Source organism: Homo sapiens, chromosome 16 (assembly GCF_000001405.40).
Source record: "Homo sapiens chromosome 16, GRCh38.p14 Primary Assembly".
Lineage (NCBI taxonomy): Eukaryota > Metazoa > Chordata > Mammalia > Primates > Hominidae > Homo > Homo sapiens.
The window spans coordinates 89,782,181-89,799,131 of NC_000016.10; the positions used below are offsets into that span (position 1 = coordinate 89,782,181).

The 16,951-nt window shown below is 50.6% G+C and overlaps 1 protein-coding gene across 4 annotated transcripts in view; it reads right to left on the reverse strand.

Annotated features, from left to right (window-relative positions):
* FANCA (FA complementation group A) overlaps positions 1–16,951 on the reverse strand; it is a 79,099-nt gene that overhangs the window by 44,632 nt on the left and 17,516 nt on the right. For 2 of the 4 annotated variants that reach the window (NM_000135.4, NM_001286167.3), the window contains exons 11-17: positions 13,726–13,838; positions 10,291–10,367; positions 9,747–9,888; positions 9,223–9,356; positions 2,674–2,784; positions 827–922; positions 679–738 (exon numbers count right to left, since the gene is read on the reverse strand). In NM_000135.4, coding sequence (NP_000126.2) covers positions 679–738; positions 827–922; positions 2,674–2,784; positions 9,223–9,356; positions 9,747–9,888; positions 10,291–10,367; positions 13,726–13,838 — 733 coding nt within the window. Of the gene's footprint in view, positions 1–678; positions 739–826; positions 923–2,673; positions 2,785–9,222; positions 9,357–9,746; positions 9,889–10,290; positions 10,368–13,725; positions 13,839–16,173; positions 16,900–16,951 lie in introns of those variants that run through there. The other 2 variants (NM_001351830.2, NM_001018112.3) reach the window with 1 other exon arrangement.

A 16,951-nucleotide genomic window follows, 5' to 3' on the forward strand; every position in this document is an offset into this window, starting at 1 on the left:
CTGGCTAACACGGTGAAACCTCGTCTCTACTAAAAAAAATTAAAAAATTAGCCAGGCGTGGTGGCGGGCGCCTGTAATCCCAGCACTTTGAGAGGCCAAGGCGGGCGGATCACAAGGTCAGGAGATTGAGACCATTCTGGCTAACATGGCGAAACCCTGACTCTATTAAAAATACAAAAAAATTAGCCAGGCGTGGTGGCGGCTCCTGTAGTCCCAGCTACTCTGGAGGCTGAGGCAGGAGAATGGCGTGAACCCAGGAGGCAGAGGTTGCAGTGAGCCGAGATTGCGCCACTGCACTCAAGCCTGGTGACAGACCAAGACTGCATCTCCAAAAAAAAAAAAAAAGTTAACACTTTTCTGTGATTCAGAGAAAAACATGACGAACCACCTCTCCATTCAACCCCACAGGAACCAAGATCTCCCAAAAGGACAAATGTCCTGCAGCCTGAGGCACTTCACTCTGCCACACAGTAACCCTTTCCCTGCCAATGCTGGGGACACACAAGGTGGGACACAGCAACACAGAGGCCCGCAGAGCCTCGCCCCCAGCTGCGCCCGAGGCAAGACCAGACATGAGACTGGGAAGGCTGAAAAACTCAACTCAAGAGTCAAAAGAAACTGGACCTTTGCATGGTGGGCGTGACTGGCTGAGACCCTGCAGGGCTCAAGCAACATTACCTCAGTAATGTCCCCAGCTGATGACAAATCCTCGTAGAGTCCCATGTTTTCTATAGAAACCTTCAGGGAAGACACAGAATGAGAACAAGAAAACAAAGCAGTTTCTGCTGGGACAGGTGTGAGGAGTGGGCATGGAGGGACAGCTTGCCTTGAGGTCGGCCAGCCGTGTCTTGGCCAATGAGATGTAGTCTGTGAGGAGGGAGCGGTACTTGCCGGGAACCAGGGGTGGGTGGAGAATGTGCACCTGAGGATAGATAGCAGAGCGCAGCACCGTTAGTCTGGGAACTGCCTGGGACTCCAGGGAGGCCACAATTCACTTCCAACATCCACAGTGCTGAGTAGAGAAACACAGCCCTTTACAGTCAGACTTATGAGTATGCAAAGCAAACCATTAGTAAAATTAAAACACAAGCCGGGCGCAGCGGCTTACACCTGTAATCCCAGCACTTTGGGAGGCTGAGGCGGGCAGATCACGAGGTCAGGAGATGGAGACCATCCTGGCTAACATGGTGAAACCCTGTCTCTACTAAAAATACAAAAAAATTAGCCGGGCGCGGTGGTGGGCACCAGTAGTCCCAGCTACTCGGGAGACTGAGGCAGGAGAATGGCGGGAACCCAGGAGGCGGACCTTGCAGTGAGCCGAGATCGCGCCACTGCACTCCAGCCTGGGTGACACAGTGAGACTTCATTTCCAAAAAAAAAAACAACAAAAAAAAAACACAATAGAAGGCTGCTTCCCCAGGTGAAAAATCAAGAAACCCTAATGTAGCTGGTCCTGCAAGTCCAGGGCGGCTCACTGGGGGAACCAGGGATGTGCAATCCTAGCAGCGGCAGCAGGAACCGGCCCCGGCCGCCTGCAGCTCCATGCCTTTGACTTCCTGGTCAAAGGGGACAGAGGGGACACAGCGTGTTTTTTTCTTTTGAGAGGGAGTTTTGCTCTTATTGCCCAGGCTGGAGTGCAATGGTGCAGTCTCGGCTCACTGCAACCTCCGCCTCCCGGGTTCAAGCAACTCTCCTGCCTCAGCCTCCTGAGTAGCTAGGACTACGCGCGCGCTACCACGCCCGGCTAATTTTGTATTTTCAGTAGACAGGGGGTTTCTCCACATTGGTCAGGCTGGTCTCGAACTCCTGACCTCAAGTGATCTGCCCTCCTCAGCCTCCAAAAGTGCTGGGTTACAGGTGTGAGCCACCACGCCCGGCCAATTTTCTTAAAAGATGAGGGTCAGGCTGGGCACAGTGGCTCACACCTGTAATCCCAGAACTTTGGGAGGCCAAGGCGGAAGGATCACTTGAGCTCAGTTCAAGGCCAGCCTGGGCAACACAGCAAGACCCCATCTGTACTAAAAAAAAGAAAAAAAGAAAAAACAGCCAGGTTTGCTGGCATGCGCCTGTAGTCCCAACTACTCAGGACGCTGAGGTGGGAGAACTGCTTGACCTGGGAGGTCTAGGCTACAGTGAGCTATGATGGCAACACTGCACTCTAGCCTAGGCAACAGAGTGAGACTGTCTCAAAAAAAAAAACCCAAAAAAACAAAAAAACAAAAAAAAAACCCACATGAAATTAAAAAAAAAAAAAAAAAAGCAAACATGAGATCCTAAAACCCTCACTGCAGTACAACTCGCTCTTCCTGCGTAACTGGGTGCTGAGAACGTCTCTCCACGTCACCACTCAGACCTGCTCACTGTTTTGAGGGAGACTGAACAGTGACATAATATATCTACCCACCTCCTTGGCCTAGGTGAGAAAAGGGTTTCTTAGCAGTTGCCTTGACTGGCACACACGCACTCACTGTGTGTCCACGTGGACACCTCCAGTTGCAATGTTTGTGTTGTTTCACCATAAACGGCTTGGGGAAGGGGAAGGGGAAGGGGAAGGGCCTGGCTGAGAGGCTCAGAGCAGATCTGCAGGAGGCTCTTGGGGAGGCCAAGGCAGTCCTCAGATGCAGCAGGTGAGCGAAGCACCAGAAATCATGGATGTGGCAGCCAGCTTCTCACCTGCAGGTACCGGGGAGACTCAAAAGGCACGAGTTCTGACAAGAACGTAAACAGGAAGACCAGGGCCTTCTTGCTGCAGCCATGGTAGCCTCGTGTGCTCCCAAAGGAGGCCTGTGTGGAGAGAAGAGCGTGAAGCCCAGGACAGCCAGGCGCGGCTGCACCACCTAGGCAGTGTCCTGTGTGGAGAGAAGAGCGTGAAGCCCAGGACAGCCAGGCGCAGCTGCACCACCTAGGCAGTGTCCTGTGTGGAGAGAAGAGTGTGAAGCCCACCTAGGCAGTGTCCGGGCGGCTGCTGTAGTCGGCCTCCTAAACAAAAAGGAAAAAAGAGAAACACCAAAAAGTCATGTGGTTCATACATTTACAGATGTCACGACTGCGCTTTGACTGAAGAGATATCTAAAAGTTATTCGAAGAAAAACAGTTAAAAATCATTAGCTATAACAAACACTAACTATGGGATCCTTTTGGGATCCTTAGGGGTACAATTTGCTAAATGCCCTAAGAAGTGTTTGTGCACAGCAAACAAATTGATTTTGTGGGATGAAGCCACTTCTGAACACACTTTAACTTCTAACCTCATCCACCAGTGGACAGATCACTGCAAGAGAGGTGGGTAAGGAACACAGGCCAAGGAGGGCCACCCCTCAGACAATGAAGCTGCAAGACCCTAGCAGAGCAAGCGAGGAACATGAGCAAACCCTCCCAGGAACGAAGGGGGCTGCAGCAAAGTCCTGGGGGCTGCAGTGAGTCAGGGAAGGAAGGAGATTTTAAATGGGCATGGCCCTGAACGCATCATAGTGAACCTGCAGACAGAATGTGGGCCTCTGTGAACACTGAACCGCTTACCTGCAAAACCAGACGAGCTCCTGCCACCCTAGCCCCACTTGAGACCACAGGACATCCTGGTGAAACCTCAGCAAGTTACCATCTATCAGGAAACCTGAACTCCAACGTGAACTGAAGGCTCACCTTGGTCTTTCTGAAAGCGTGCAAAATTGTGTTTTGTTTTTTTTTTTTTGGAGACAGAGTCTTGCTCTGTCACCCAGGCTGGAGTGCAGTGGTGCCATCTTGGCTCACTGCAACGTCCGCCCACCCAGGTTTGAACAATTCTCCTGCCTCCCTAGTAGCTGAGATTACAGGCATTTGCTACCACTCCCAGCTATTTTTTTTTTTTTTTTTTTGAGAGAGAGAGTCTCACTCTGTCATCCAGGCTGGAGTGCAACGGTGCAATCAGGGCTCACTGCAACCTCTGCCTCCCGGGTTCAAGTGATTCTCCCACCTCTGCCTCCCAAGTAGCTGGGACTACAAGCACGTGCCACCAAGCCCGGTTTTTTTTTTCCTTTTTTCTGAGACAAAGCCTCACTCTGTCACCCAGGCTGGAGCGCAGTGGCGTAATCTCGGCTTACCGTAACCTCCGCCTCCCAGGTTCAAACGATTCTCCTGCCTCAGCCTCCTGAGTAGCTGGGATTACAGGTGTGCACCACCATGCCTGGCTAATTTTGTGTTTTTAGTAGAGACAGGGTTTCATCGTGTTGGCCAGGCTACTCTTGAACTCCTGACCTCAGGTGATACCTTGGCCTCCCAAAGTGCTGGGATTACAGACATGAGCCACCACGTCTGACCTAGCTAATTTTTGTCTTTTTAGTAGAGATGAGGTTTTGCCATGTTGGCCAGGCTGGTCTCAAACTCCTGACCTCAAGTGATCCACCTGCCTCGGCCTTCCAAAGTGCTGGGATTACAGGCATGAACTATCACACCTGACCATGTGTAGATTCTTTTGAATGTTATCATCATGCAGACAGACCCAAAAAGCCATTAGATAAAAAGCGGAAAATGCTGATAACGCTTGTCAAATGTCTCTGAGAGGGACAGAGTCACGGAAAAACAAAGCTCAGAGACATGAACTGTCTGTGCCAAATACCAGGAAAGCAGCTCAATACTTGTCAGTTAAAAATTTAAATAAAACCTGAGACCACTCAAGGGTTCCCTTCTCAAAACATCAGCACCCAGTTTCAACCTGAAATTCTCCCGCCAAGCACACCATGTCTTATCACCCTCCATTCAGCCATCCACAACACAACTGCTCCTGTCTCTTGGCAACGTTCACTCAATTAACAGTGAGCCAGATGATCACTGGCCGCAGCAGGAACAGTCCAGACCCGTCGCCAAAGGCATTTCTGTAAAGCATCTAAGTGACACGCGCAAGCCAGACCTGGGGTCACAGCAGCCATTGTTAGAGTTGCTGAGATAAAAGGCAGTTCTGTTTGCTATTTTTGAAAAAATTACACTTAATGGCTGGGTGCAGTGGCTCAATCCGGTAATTCCAACACTTTGGGAGGTTGAGGCAGGAAGATCACTTCAGCCCAGGAGGTCAAGACCAGCCAGGACGGCCGGGCGCGGTGGCTAGCGCCTGTGATCCCAACACTTTGGGAGGCTGAGGCGGGCAGATCACGAGTTCAGGAGATCGAGACCATCCTGGCTAACCCGGTGAAACCCTGTCTCTACTAAAAATACAAAAAATTAGCCGTGTGTGGTGGCAGGCGCCTGTAGTCCCAGCTACTCAGGAGGCTGTGGCAGGAGAATGGCGTGAACCCGGGAGGTGGTTACCGTGAGCCAAGGTCGCACCACTGCACTCCAGCCTGGGCAACAAGAGCGAACTCCATCTTAAAAAAACAAAAAGACCAGCCAGGGCAACATAGTGAGACACTATGTCCACAAAAAATTTTTTAATAATTAGCCAGGTGTGGTGACATACACCTGCGGACTCAGCTGCTCGGGAAGTTGAGGTGGGAGGATCATTTGAGCCTGGAAGGTTGAGACTGCAGTGAGCCATGATCACACCACCACATCCCAGCCTGGGAGACAGAACAGAGACCTTGCCTCAAAAAAACAAACAAAAAAACCCCACAAATTACATTTAACTACATAATGTGATATGCTGAGAATTATATTAATTACCCCAAAGGGCTCAAATTCACGATCATTTGGTCTACTTATATTAACATTTCCTAAAAGTAAAAAAAAAAAATTTTTTTTTTGAGACGGGGTCTTGCTCCATTGCCCAGGCTGGAGTGCAGTGGTCTGATCTTGGCTCACTGCAACCTGCGCGTTCCGGGTTCAAGGAATTCTCCTGCCTCGGCCTTCTGAGTAGCTGGGATTACAGGCACCTGCCACCATACCAGCTAAATTTTGTATTTTTGGTAGAGATAGGGTTTTGCCACGTTGCCCAGGGTGGTCTTGAACTACTGGGCTCAAGCAATCGGCCCACCTCGTCCTCCCACAGTGCTGGTATTTGCCCTCAAAAGTAAAAATTAAAACAGATGTTCAGGCCAAGTGCGTTGGCTCATGCCTGTAATCCCAGCACTTTGGGAGGCTAAGTGGGGCGGATGACAAACTCAAGAGATCGAGACCATCCTGGCCAACATGGTGAGACCCCATCTCTACCAAAATTACAAAAATTAGCCAGGTGTGGTGGCAGGCACCTGTAGTCCCAGCTACTCAGGAGGCTGAAACAGGAGAATCGCTTGAACCCAGGAGGTGGGAGTTGCACTCCAGCCTGGTGACAGACGGGGACTCCATCTCAAAAACAAAACAAAACATAACAAAAACAGATGTTCAAACACTGAATATGCATATATACATTTATCAAAACTCATCTAACTATCTGGACATGGTGGCTCATGCCTGTAATTCCAGTACTTCGGGGGTTAAGGTGCGGGGATCGCATGAGGCCAGGAATCTGAGACCAGCCTGAGCAACACGGTATGACATTGTATTTACAAAAAAATTTTTTTTAATTAGCTGGGTGTGGTGGCACACACCTATAGTCCCAGTTACTCTGGAAGCGGAGGCAGGAGGACTGCTTGACCCCAGGAGGTAAAGGCTGCAGTGAGCTATGATCATGCCACTGCACTCCAGCCTGGGCAACACTCAGTCTCTTAAAAGAAAACACAAACAGAAAAAAACAAAAAACCTCATTTAATGGTACACTTAAATTGGATACCTTTCATTATTTCATTTAAACTATATTTTGATAAAGTTGATTTGAAAAGGTAAAAGAAAAGCAAACAAAACCAAAACACCACCACCAACACAGCACTTCAGAGTATTCCTCTCCCAACTGTCGCCTCTGGAACCGAAGAAAAAGCAGCCCAGGGAGACACCTGAGCCGCGGCTCGGGGAGACCCATCAACTCCTGACCCAAGAGCACCAGGTGGATTCTGGCACAAATCTCTCAGCGCCTCACTAAAAGGACAGAACAAACACCTCTCCTCTTAGTTTAGTGGAAGCCCCAGGCTAACTGGGCAGAGCTGGGGAGAGCCTGAGGGCAGGTGAGAAGGAACTTTAAGGAATAGAAGTGAGTTGACACTGACACTGCACCAGTCACCACCTTCTCCCAACACAAGCAGATGCGGCTCAGCCTCCTGTGCAGCCTCAGCTCCTCAGAAGGCCTGGGGGGGGAGCAGGCACCGCAGCCACGATGGCGATGCAGGCACCGCAGCCCTTGAAAATTTCAGGGAGCTGAGACTCCTACAAAGAGGCAACTACTTCACCGAGGTGGTGATGGCAGGAAAACTCAATACTTTTTTTTTTTTTTTTTTTTTTGAGACAGAGTCTTGCTCTGTCTCCCAGGCTGGAGCGTAGTAATGCAATCCCAGCTCAATGCAGCCTCAACCTCCTCGGCTTAAGTAATCATCCTGCCTCAGCCGGTAAGTAGCCAGGACCACAGGTGCTTACCACCACACCCAGCTAATTGTTACATTCTGTAGAGACCGGGGTCTCACTGTGCTGCCCAGGCTGATCTTGAACCCCTGGGCTCAAGCAATCCTCCTGCCTAGGCCTCCCAAACTGCTGAGATTACAGGCATGAGCCACTGTACCTGGCCCGAACCCAAAACTTCTACAAAAATTAGCTCTTCAAATGGAAACTTTACTCACAAGCACTAAAAGAGAAACCATGGCGGTCCTTCAAAGCTGATATCTCAAATACACCCAACTCCCCACATGAACTGGGGGTTTTCACAGGGGTTGCCCAGGGATCCCTGAGGTCTCAGGAGCTCAGACTCAGTAGTCTCAAATGGGCCCTGGATCTTTATTTCCAAAGCCCCCTCCAGGCGAGTCTAATGCCCACTTAGGTTCAGGAACAGCTGCATAAACTTCTGTCAGAGAGCACACTGTGTGTGTTCCAAAGAAAAAGGAAGAATATGTGATACGGCTGAAGAAATGAAGTACTTGTTTCAGGACTTACGTGAAAATTAGAGACGCAAGGCTGGGCACGGTGGCTCATGCCTGTAATCCCTGCACTTTGGGAGGCCGAGGGAGGCGGACCACTTAAGGTCAGGATTTTGAGACCAGCCTGACCAACATGATGAAACCCTGTCTCTACTAAAAATTAGCCAGGTGTGGTGGCGAACGCCTGTAACCCCAGCTACTCGGGAGGCGGAGGCAGGAGAATTGCTTGAACCCAGGAGGAGGAGGTTGCAGTGAGCCGAGGTCGCACCAGTGCACTCCAGTATGAGTGATAGAATGAGACTCCACCTCAAAAAAATAAATAAGTAAATAAATAAAATAAATAAATAAATAAATAAAAAGGAAAGGCCAGGTGCGCTGGCTCATGCCTGTAATCCCAGCACTTTGGGAGGACAAGACGGGCGGATCATGAGGTCAGGAGTTAGAGACCAGCCTGACCAACATGGTGAAACCCCGTCTCTACTAAAAATACAAAAATGAACTGGGTATGGTAGTGCACACCTGTAATCCCAGCTACTCAGGAGGCTGAGGCAGGAGAATAGCTTGAAACGGGGCAGCGGAGTTTGCAGTGAGCCGAGAAGGTGAGCTTTCTGTACCACTGCACTCTAGCCTGGGCGACAGAGGAAGACTCCATCTCAAAAAAAAAAAAAGGGAAAATAAGAGACATTGTATACTCTGCAAAAAGCAGCATCCACTTCTGTGTCCCCTCTTTCCTGATTTCACTCATTTTCTTTTTTTTCTTTTTGGGATGGAGTCTCCTTCTGTCACCCAGGCTGGCGTACAGTGGTGCAATCACAGCTCACTGCAGCCTTGATCTCCCAGGCTCAAGTAATCCTTGCGTCTCAGCCTCCCGAGTAACGAGGACTACAGGTGTCTGCCACCACACCTGCGTAGTTTTTGTTTTGTGTGTGTGTGTGTGTGTTTTTTTTTTTTTTTTTTTTTTTTTGGTGGAGATGAGGTTTCACTATGGTGTCCAGGCTTGATTTCGCTAATTTTCTTATAAAAGACAGCAGGAGGCTCCGTCAACTAAGTGAGACAGAAACCAGGGGAAGGAGCTGAGGCCCCGACAGGGAGAACCCAGGCTCCTCGGAACATGCAGAGGAAGATCCGCTGAGGCCCCGACAGGGAGAACCCAGGCTCCTCGGCACACGCAGAGGAAGATCTGCCAAGGCCACTCGGCAAAGCTGACAGCAAGGTTGCTCACTCACATGACAGAGAATCAGGTGGGGACAGCATGGTCCCCACTCCCAGGCCTTCTGGGAAGATCAGGTATTAGGTAGCCGATTGGCAGGTCACTTACCTTGAACCAGTCTGCATATGACAGGAACGCAGAGGGGCCCTCCAGTGCTGCCTGGCGCACAACCAGGAACGCAGTGACCATGCTGTCCAGCTGGCAGCTCTCGAATGCCTGGGCCATCAAACGCGCCACCCAGTCTAGTTAAGAACCATGACATAGTCACAGCAAGGCAAGGGCAGCCAGCAGGAACATGACGTGAGTTATGCTGGGTGATCAAGTATTCCAGAAGGAGACTGTGCACACCCAAACACCAAGTTTTAAAAGACTACACAGCAATTACAGCATGTCAAGTGCAAACCACTAGAGACCTGAATGAAGCAGCAGTGGACACTCTGGCCTCTCAGAGCAGCAGTCAGTGCTTATGGAAGCGTCTGACAAAGAATGTTCCATCGACAGGAGGCACTGCAGGTTCCGGGCAGGTAGGGAAGGGCTTCACTGAGAGGCTCACCCACAGTCAGCTGGGACTCTGCTGACACCCCCCTACACACACTCTTGACCAGCACCACCGGGCTCGCGTAAAAGCTCACCTTCAAGCAGCTGCTGCGCTTCTGGAAAGCAGACAACCAGGGCAGACACAAAGGAGAGCACTCTCTGCCAGTGAACCTCCTGCGTTTCCAGAACTTCTTGCAAATGGCCAACCAACTCCTCTGCACTCAGCATCACAAAGAGCTGAAATAAAAGCATCCGCTCCCTTCAATATCCAAGCAAACCAATGTGCGACAGATGACCCCTCACCTTCCTCCCAGCCGGTGGCCACCGCAGCCCCCTCACTTCCCACTGCAAAGGTAACACATGGAGCTGTGACAGCTCACACCGTGGCGTCTCTCCCCTCACAGTGGCCAGCACCTGCTTGGAGAGAATTCTCCCTATCTCAAGGAGGAGGGGCTCGGCCCAAGGGACAAGTTCAGTCTCCTGACCTGAGTGGTGGCCTTGATGAGGACAGCCACATCTCACCAGACATCCCTGAACCTCTCGATGTGCCGTCCACGGCAGGCAGCATGACAAGTACTAGGCAGATCTTAATCCCCCCGCCACGAGCTCAGAAGCAGGTATAATACCACATCCACTCACCCTGCGGTACAGTGAGGTGAGCAGAGGGTGTGTCCGCGCAAAGCTCCACTCTCTCTGCATCTGAACAGCATCAGATGCTGCAGGGGGAGAAACAGACAAAAACTTCAAGTCAGAGATCAAAAAGTTGTGGGTTTTTGTTAAGGACCAGCCCCACAGGGTCGGTGGGTCTCTCCCCGTGTGCGGCGACGAGAGAGTGTAGAAAGAAAGATACAAGACAAAGAGATAAAAGACAAGACAGCTGGGCCCGGGGGACCACTACCATCAATGCGCGGAGACCGGTAGTGGCCCTGAATGTCTGGTTGTGCTGTTATTTATTGGATACAAAGCAAAAGGGGCAGGGTAAAGAGTGTGAGTCATCTCCAATGATAGGTAAGGTCACGTGTCCACTGGATAGGGGGCCCTTCCCTGCCTGGAAGCCGAGGCAGAGAGGGAGAGGAGATAGAGACAAAGACAGCTTATGCCATTATTTCTGCATATCAGAGACTTTTAGTACTTTCACTAATTTACTACTGCTATCTAGAAGGCAGAGCCAGGTGTACAGGATGGAACATGAAGGTGGACTAGGAGCGTGACCACTGAAGCACAGCATCACAGGGAGACGGTTAGGCCTCCGGATAACTGTGGGTGAGCCTGACTGATGTCAGGCCCTCCACAAGAGGTGGAGGAGCAGAGTCTTCTCTAAACTCCCGGGGGGAAAGGGAGAGTCCCTTTCCCGGTCTAAGTAGTGAGTGGTGTTCCTTGACACCTTTTGCTACCGCTGGACCACGATCCGCTTGGTGACGGGCGTCTTCCCAGACGCTGCCGTCACCGCTAGACCAAGGAGCCCTCTGGTGGCCCTGTCCGGGCATAACAGAAGGCTCACACTCTTGTCTTATGGTCACTTCTCACCATGTCCCCTCAGCTCCTGTCTCTGTATGGCCTGGCTTTTCCTAGGTTATGATTATAGAGCGAGGATTATTATAATATTGCAATAAACAGTAATTACTACCAACTAATGATTAATGATATTCATATGTAATCATATCTAAGATCTATATCTGGTATAACTATTCTTGTTTTATATTTTATTATACTAGAACAGCTCGTGTCCTCGGTCTCTTGCCTTGGTGCCTGGGTGGCTTGCCGCCCACAGGTTTTGTTTTTGGACAGGGTCTCACTATCACCCAGGCTGGAGTGCAGTGCTCACCACAGCCTCGACCTCCCTGGCTCAAGCAATCCACCTGCCTCAGTCTCCCAAGTAGCTGCGACCACAGGCGTGTGCCACCATACCCAGATACTTTTTGTATTTTTATTTTTTTGATGCTGAGTCTCACTCTGTCACCCAGGCTGGAGTGCAGTGGTACAATCTCGGCTCACTGCAAGCTCTGCCTCTCGGGTTCAAGCGATTCTCCTGCCTCAGCCTCCCGAGTAGCTGGGACTACAGGCGCCCACCACCACGCCCGGCTAATTTTTGTATTTTTTAGTAGAGATGGGGTTTCACTCTTTTGGCCAGGCTGGTCTCGAACTTCTGACCTCGTGACCTGCCCGTCTCAGCCTCCCAAAATGCTGGGATTACAGGCGTGAGCCACTGCTCCTGGCCAAAAAGTTGTGTTTCAAAGCTTCAGTGTGAAGACAGATCTTAATATGTACTTTTTCAGTTATTAAAGTTCACCATCTCCCTGTTTGTTGCCTATTTGCTATATCATCAATTCTGTTTCTCAGGCCCGGTTACTTACTTGTAATGCTTTGTCATATTCACAATAAATATTTTCCAATGTACCAACTGCATTTCAATTTTCCTGCTTTTAAACTGTCAGTAAGGTCAGGCTAGGTGGCTCACGCCTGTAATCCCACCACTTTGGGAGGCCGAAGTGGGTGGATCACAAGGTCAGGAGTTCTAGACCAGCCTGGCCAAGATGGTGAAACCCTGTCTCTACTCAAAATACAAAAAGTAGCTGGGCATGGTGGCAGGCGCCTGTAATTCAAGCTTGGCAGGGAATAGCTTGAACCCAGGCGGCAGAGGTTGCAGTGAGCTGAGATCGCACCACCACACTCCAGCCTGGGCAACAGAGTAAGACTCTGTCTCAAAAAAATAAATAAATACATAAAATAAGATAAACTGGGAATAAACCAATCATGGTGGGGATGCTGTTCAAAGGAAGCTCAGCTCAGTCAAGTGATGATAAACTCCTGAGCACCTCACAGCACCTGTTGGGAGCCATCTGTGTATCCCTCATCTCCCACCAGTTTCCTGCCTGAGCATCTACCCTGGGGATATGCTAGATACAGAAAAAGCTCAAAGTGTTCATCGTGGCCTTATTCGTAAGACTGATATCTTGGGTACAGTCTGTCATACATGGGTAACAGGACACCCACTGGGCAGACGATGCCTGGGCCATCAAACACGCCACCGAGTCTAGCTGAGAACCATGACACAGTCACAGCAAGGCAAGGGTAGCCAGCAGAAAGATAACGTGAGTTGTGCTGGGTGATCAGGTATTCCAGAAGGAGAATGTGCATGCTCAAACACCAAGTTTTAAAAGACTAGACAGCGGCTGGGCACAGCGGCACACGCCTGTAATCCCAGTATTTTGGGAGGCCGAGACGGGCGGATTACCTGAGATTAGGAGTTCGAGACCAGCCTGGCCAACATGGTGAAAGCCCGTCTCTACTAAAAATACAAAAATTAGCCGGGCATGGTGGCACATGCCCGTAATCCCAGCTACTGTGGAGGCTGAGGCAGGAGAATGGTTTGAACCCGGGAGGTGGAGGTTGCAGTGAGCCCAAATCACGCCACTGTACTCCAACCTGGCAACAGAGCAAGACTCCATCTCCAATAAATAAATAAATAAATAAATAAATAAATAAATAAATAAAATAAAGATATTTCTATTTTACGCTGGGTGCGGTGGCTCACACCTGTAATCCCAACACTTCGACACTCTGGGAAGCCAAGGCAGGTGGAGCACCGAAGGTCAGGAGTTCGAGGCCAGCCTGGCCAACATGGTGAAACCCAGTCTCTACTAAAAATACAAAAAATTAACCGGGTGTGGTGGTTGGCGCCTGTAGTCCCAGCTACTTGAGAGGCTGAGACACGAGAATTGCTTGAACCTGGGAGGCAGAGGTTGCAGTGAGCTGAGATCACGCCACTGCACTCCAGCATGGGCAAGTGAGTGAGACTCTGACTCAAACAAACAAACAAAAAAGATATTTCTATTTTAATGACAATTATTTTGTCCACTCATAATTCTGAATTTTCTTATAAAAATCTGTTGCTTTCAGGTAAAAGGATATTTAGTAACAATCTCAGGCATCTGAGGACCCAGTCTCTGGTTCAAGACAGACGTAAAAGAGGTCCTAGAATTCCTGGCATCTCCAGTCAGCGTTACCAAGGCAACAAGGCAACAGCAATCCCCAAAATGGGTAGCAACTGAGCAGCCTCCACACTGGGCCTACCTTTCAGCACAGGGCTGTGAGTGAGTATCTGAGTCAGGGTATGACTGAAGAACCTCTTCAGAGGATCTGTGGAAATTACACTGCCAAGCGTGTGTCCACTGAACACTCCGAACCTGCCAATGCAGCAGAAAGAGGGGTCAGGAAAGGGAGGGTGCCTTGCACGCCACCCACCAATCCCAGCACAAACTGTGGCTCAGGCTCATCCCTTCTTTAAGCAAGGAAGGGGCTTTCTTGGCCAGGCCACTATAACCACAGACTTGAAACTGAATCCAAGGAGGTGGCAGTTCAACGAGAAAGGGGGCAAGGCAACGGCGAAACCCACGGAGCAGAGAAGCGAAGGAGCAGAAGGAAACAGGTGGGGAAGGGCAGGCCGCGCCACACCCGGGAGTGGAGCAGAAGGAAACAGGTTGGGAAGGGCAGGCCGCGCCGCACCCGGGAGTGGAGCCCCGGGAGCCAACCCGACGGGGCCTCAGCGGCACCCTCTGTGACACGGAACTCCCCCAGAGGGTCGTGCCAAGCCTGAGAGAAGAGCCCAGCACACCAGGGCCTCAAACAGTCACAACAGGGACTGAGGCCAGCTCTGTCCATGAAGATGAGGAAGGAATGGAAGGGACTAAGGTTTCCTGGGCCATCTGTGTGAGAGAACACGATGTTCTGGGGGTGAATGGGGTCACAGAGCCAGGTGGCAAGAGCACTTGAGGTCTGTTAGCCTGCCACATCCCAGCAGGCCTATACAGACCACCAAACCAAACCCAGACCCTCTCGTGAGGCTTACAACCTGCAACCAGCAAGCGGCACTTTATGCCGATTCCCCAGGTAAGAAAATCAAGGGTCCAGCCGGGCACGGTGGCTCATGCCTGTAATCCCAGCACTCTGGGAGGCTGAGGCGGGCAGATCACAAGGTCAGGAGATCAAGACTACCCTGGCTAACATGGTGAAACCCCATCTACACTAAAAATACCAAAATATTAGGCCAGGCGCATTGGCTCACACCTGTAATCCCAGCACTTTGGGAGGCCAAGGGGGGCAGATGACAAGGTCAGGAGCTCGAGACCATCCCGGCCAACCCAACGAAACCCCATCTCTACTAAAAAAATAGAAAAAATTAGCCGGGCATGGTGGTGGGCACCTGTAGTTCCAGCTACTCGGGAGACTGAGGCAGGAGAATGGTGTGAACCCAGGGAGCGGAGCTTGCAGTGAGCAGAGATCGCACCACTGCACTCCAGCATGGGCGACAGAGCGAAATTCTGTCTCAAAAAAAGAAAAATAAAAAAAATTAGCCAGGCATGGTGGCACACACCTATAGTCCCAGCTATGTGGGAGGCTGAGGCAGGAGAATCGCTTGAACCCAGGAGGCATAGGTTGTAGTAAACCGAGATCGTGCCACTGCACTCCAGCCTGGGCGACACAGTGAGACTCTGTCTCAAAAAAATAAAGAAAGAAAGAAAGAAAATCAAGGGTCCTGGCGGTTCAGTGAACTGCCCCAGGGTCACACACCCAACGAGGCCACGTCGGCTCTGTGCAAACTCAAGACACTCACACAACAGGGTGTGGGACATCGTGGAGATTCACTTCTCAGCCCTGCTGTCCTTCCTCACAGGGCAGGGCTTTGGGACACCACAGCCCCCAGTGTGCAAGGGAAGCTGGCCACCAAGACTGTTGGAGGATGTCTGATTTTAAATTATTGGCAGGCCAGGTGCGGTGGCTCACGCCTGTAATCCCAGTACTTTGGGAGGCTGAGGTGGGTGTTATCACTTGAGGTCAGGAGTTCGAGACCAGCCTGACCAATATAGTGAAACCCCATGTCTACTTAAAAATAGAAAATACAAAACTATAGGCTTGTGCCAGGTGTGGTGGTGCATGCCTGTAATCCCAGCTACTCAGGAGGCTGAGGCAGAAGAATTGATTGAACCTGGGAGGCAGAGGTTGCAGTGAGCAGAGATCTCACCACTGCACTCCAGCCTGGGCAACAAGAATAAAACTCTGTCTCAAAAATAAATAAATAAATAAATAATTGGCAACTAATTACAAAATATAAAAATCGGCAGGTCAGTGGTTGTTACCTGACTCTCAGGACATCAGTGTGAGTAATCTTATCACACAGATTATAAAAAAAAGCCCTTGCCACAGACTAAACTGTATCCCCACAAAGTTCCTCTGTTGAAGCCCAGCCTCTCAAGGTGGGGTGTTGATAAGGCTGAGGTGATGATGAGATGACTGCCCGGAGAAGACACCAGAGGGCTTGCTCTCCCCTCTCTACCTCATGAAGACACAGAAAAAGTAGGTCTCCTGCAAGCCAGGAAGAGGGTCCTCACCAGAACCCAACCCTAGGGGCACCCTGACCTCCAACTTCCAGCCTCCACTGCTGTGAGAACACATCTGCCGTCCACACCGCAGTCTCTGGCACTTTGTTACAGCAGCCCAAGCTAACTGATGCACATGTAAACATTCAGGAAATCACACAGTGCTTTATTCACTGTTTCAGTAAAAGTACCGAACGGTACAACACATTTAATTGAGCAGTTAAACAGTTACTGTGAGGGATGGGAAATGAGGAGCAAAATAAAGAATGAAAAGGTTGACAAGGCCTGGAAACAGTGGCAAATTCTACTGGTTTCTCAAGACTTCACTTCAAGGTCCCCTGCCCACACTAGAGGGAAGCAAACCCCAGAGCCCCATTTCCACCAAACCCCGATGTCCACCTTCCACCCAGCCCCCACTCCTCAGCTTCCGCCTCCCGACCTGTAAGGGTCTCCGCACATCTCCACAGAGCCATGGAGAGAAAAAGCTAATAGGGCCAAGCTTTGCCTACTGGTGAATCTGAGCAGGATCTGTGGAGGCCAGGCAGCGGGAGTCTGTAGAGGCACAGCTACAGTGTGTTCTAGAAATGTGGGGGGCTGAGAGGCAGGGCCAGCTCTAGAGCCTGAATCACACCCAGGGAAGGAGGAGCAAGGGGAGACTCCACACAGGAGGAGGTCACAGTGAGTGGGACAAACATTGGTGCAGGACTTCCAGAGGCGGAACAGGATACTGCAGTGGGCGCACCTTCCGACCTCATCCTCACAGGAAAAGGCTGACCAGAGCGTTCCCCGGGCTTTCCCATGGTCGCCTCCTCCTCACGCACGTTATCGTAACTGGCAGAGGAAGTGTGCTCAGGAGCGGGCTGCTGAAGCTCTGGAAGTGTTTAAAATATCTTGGCTCTTTAATTTGGCAGACACCTCCCTGC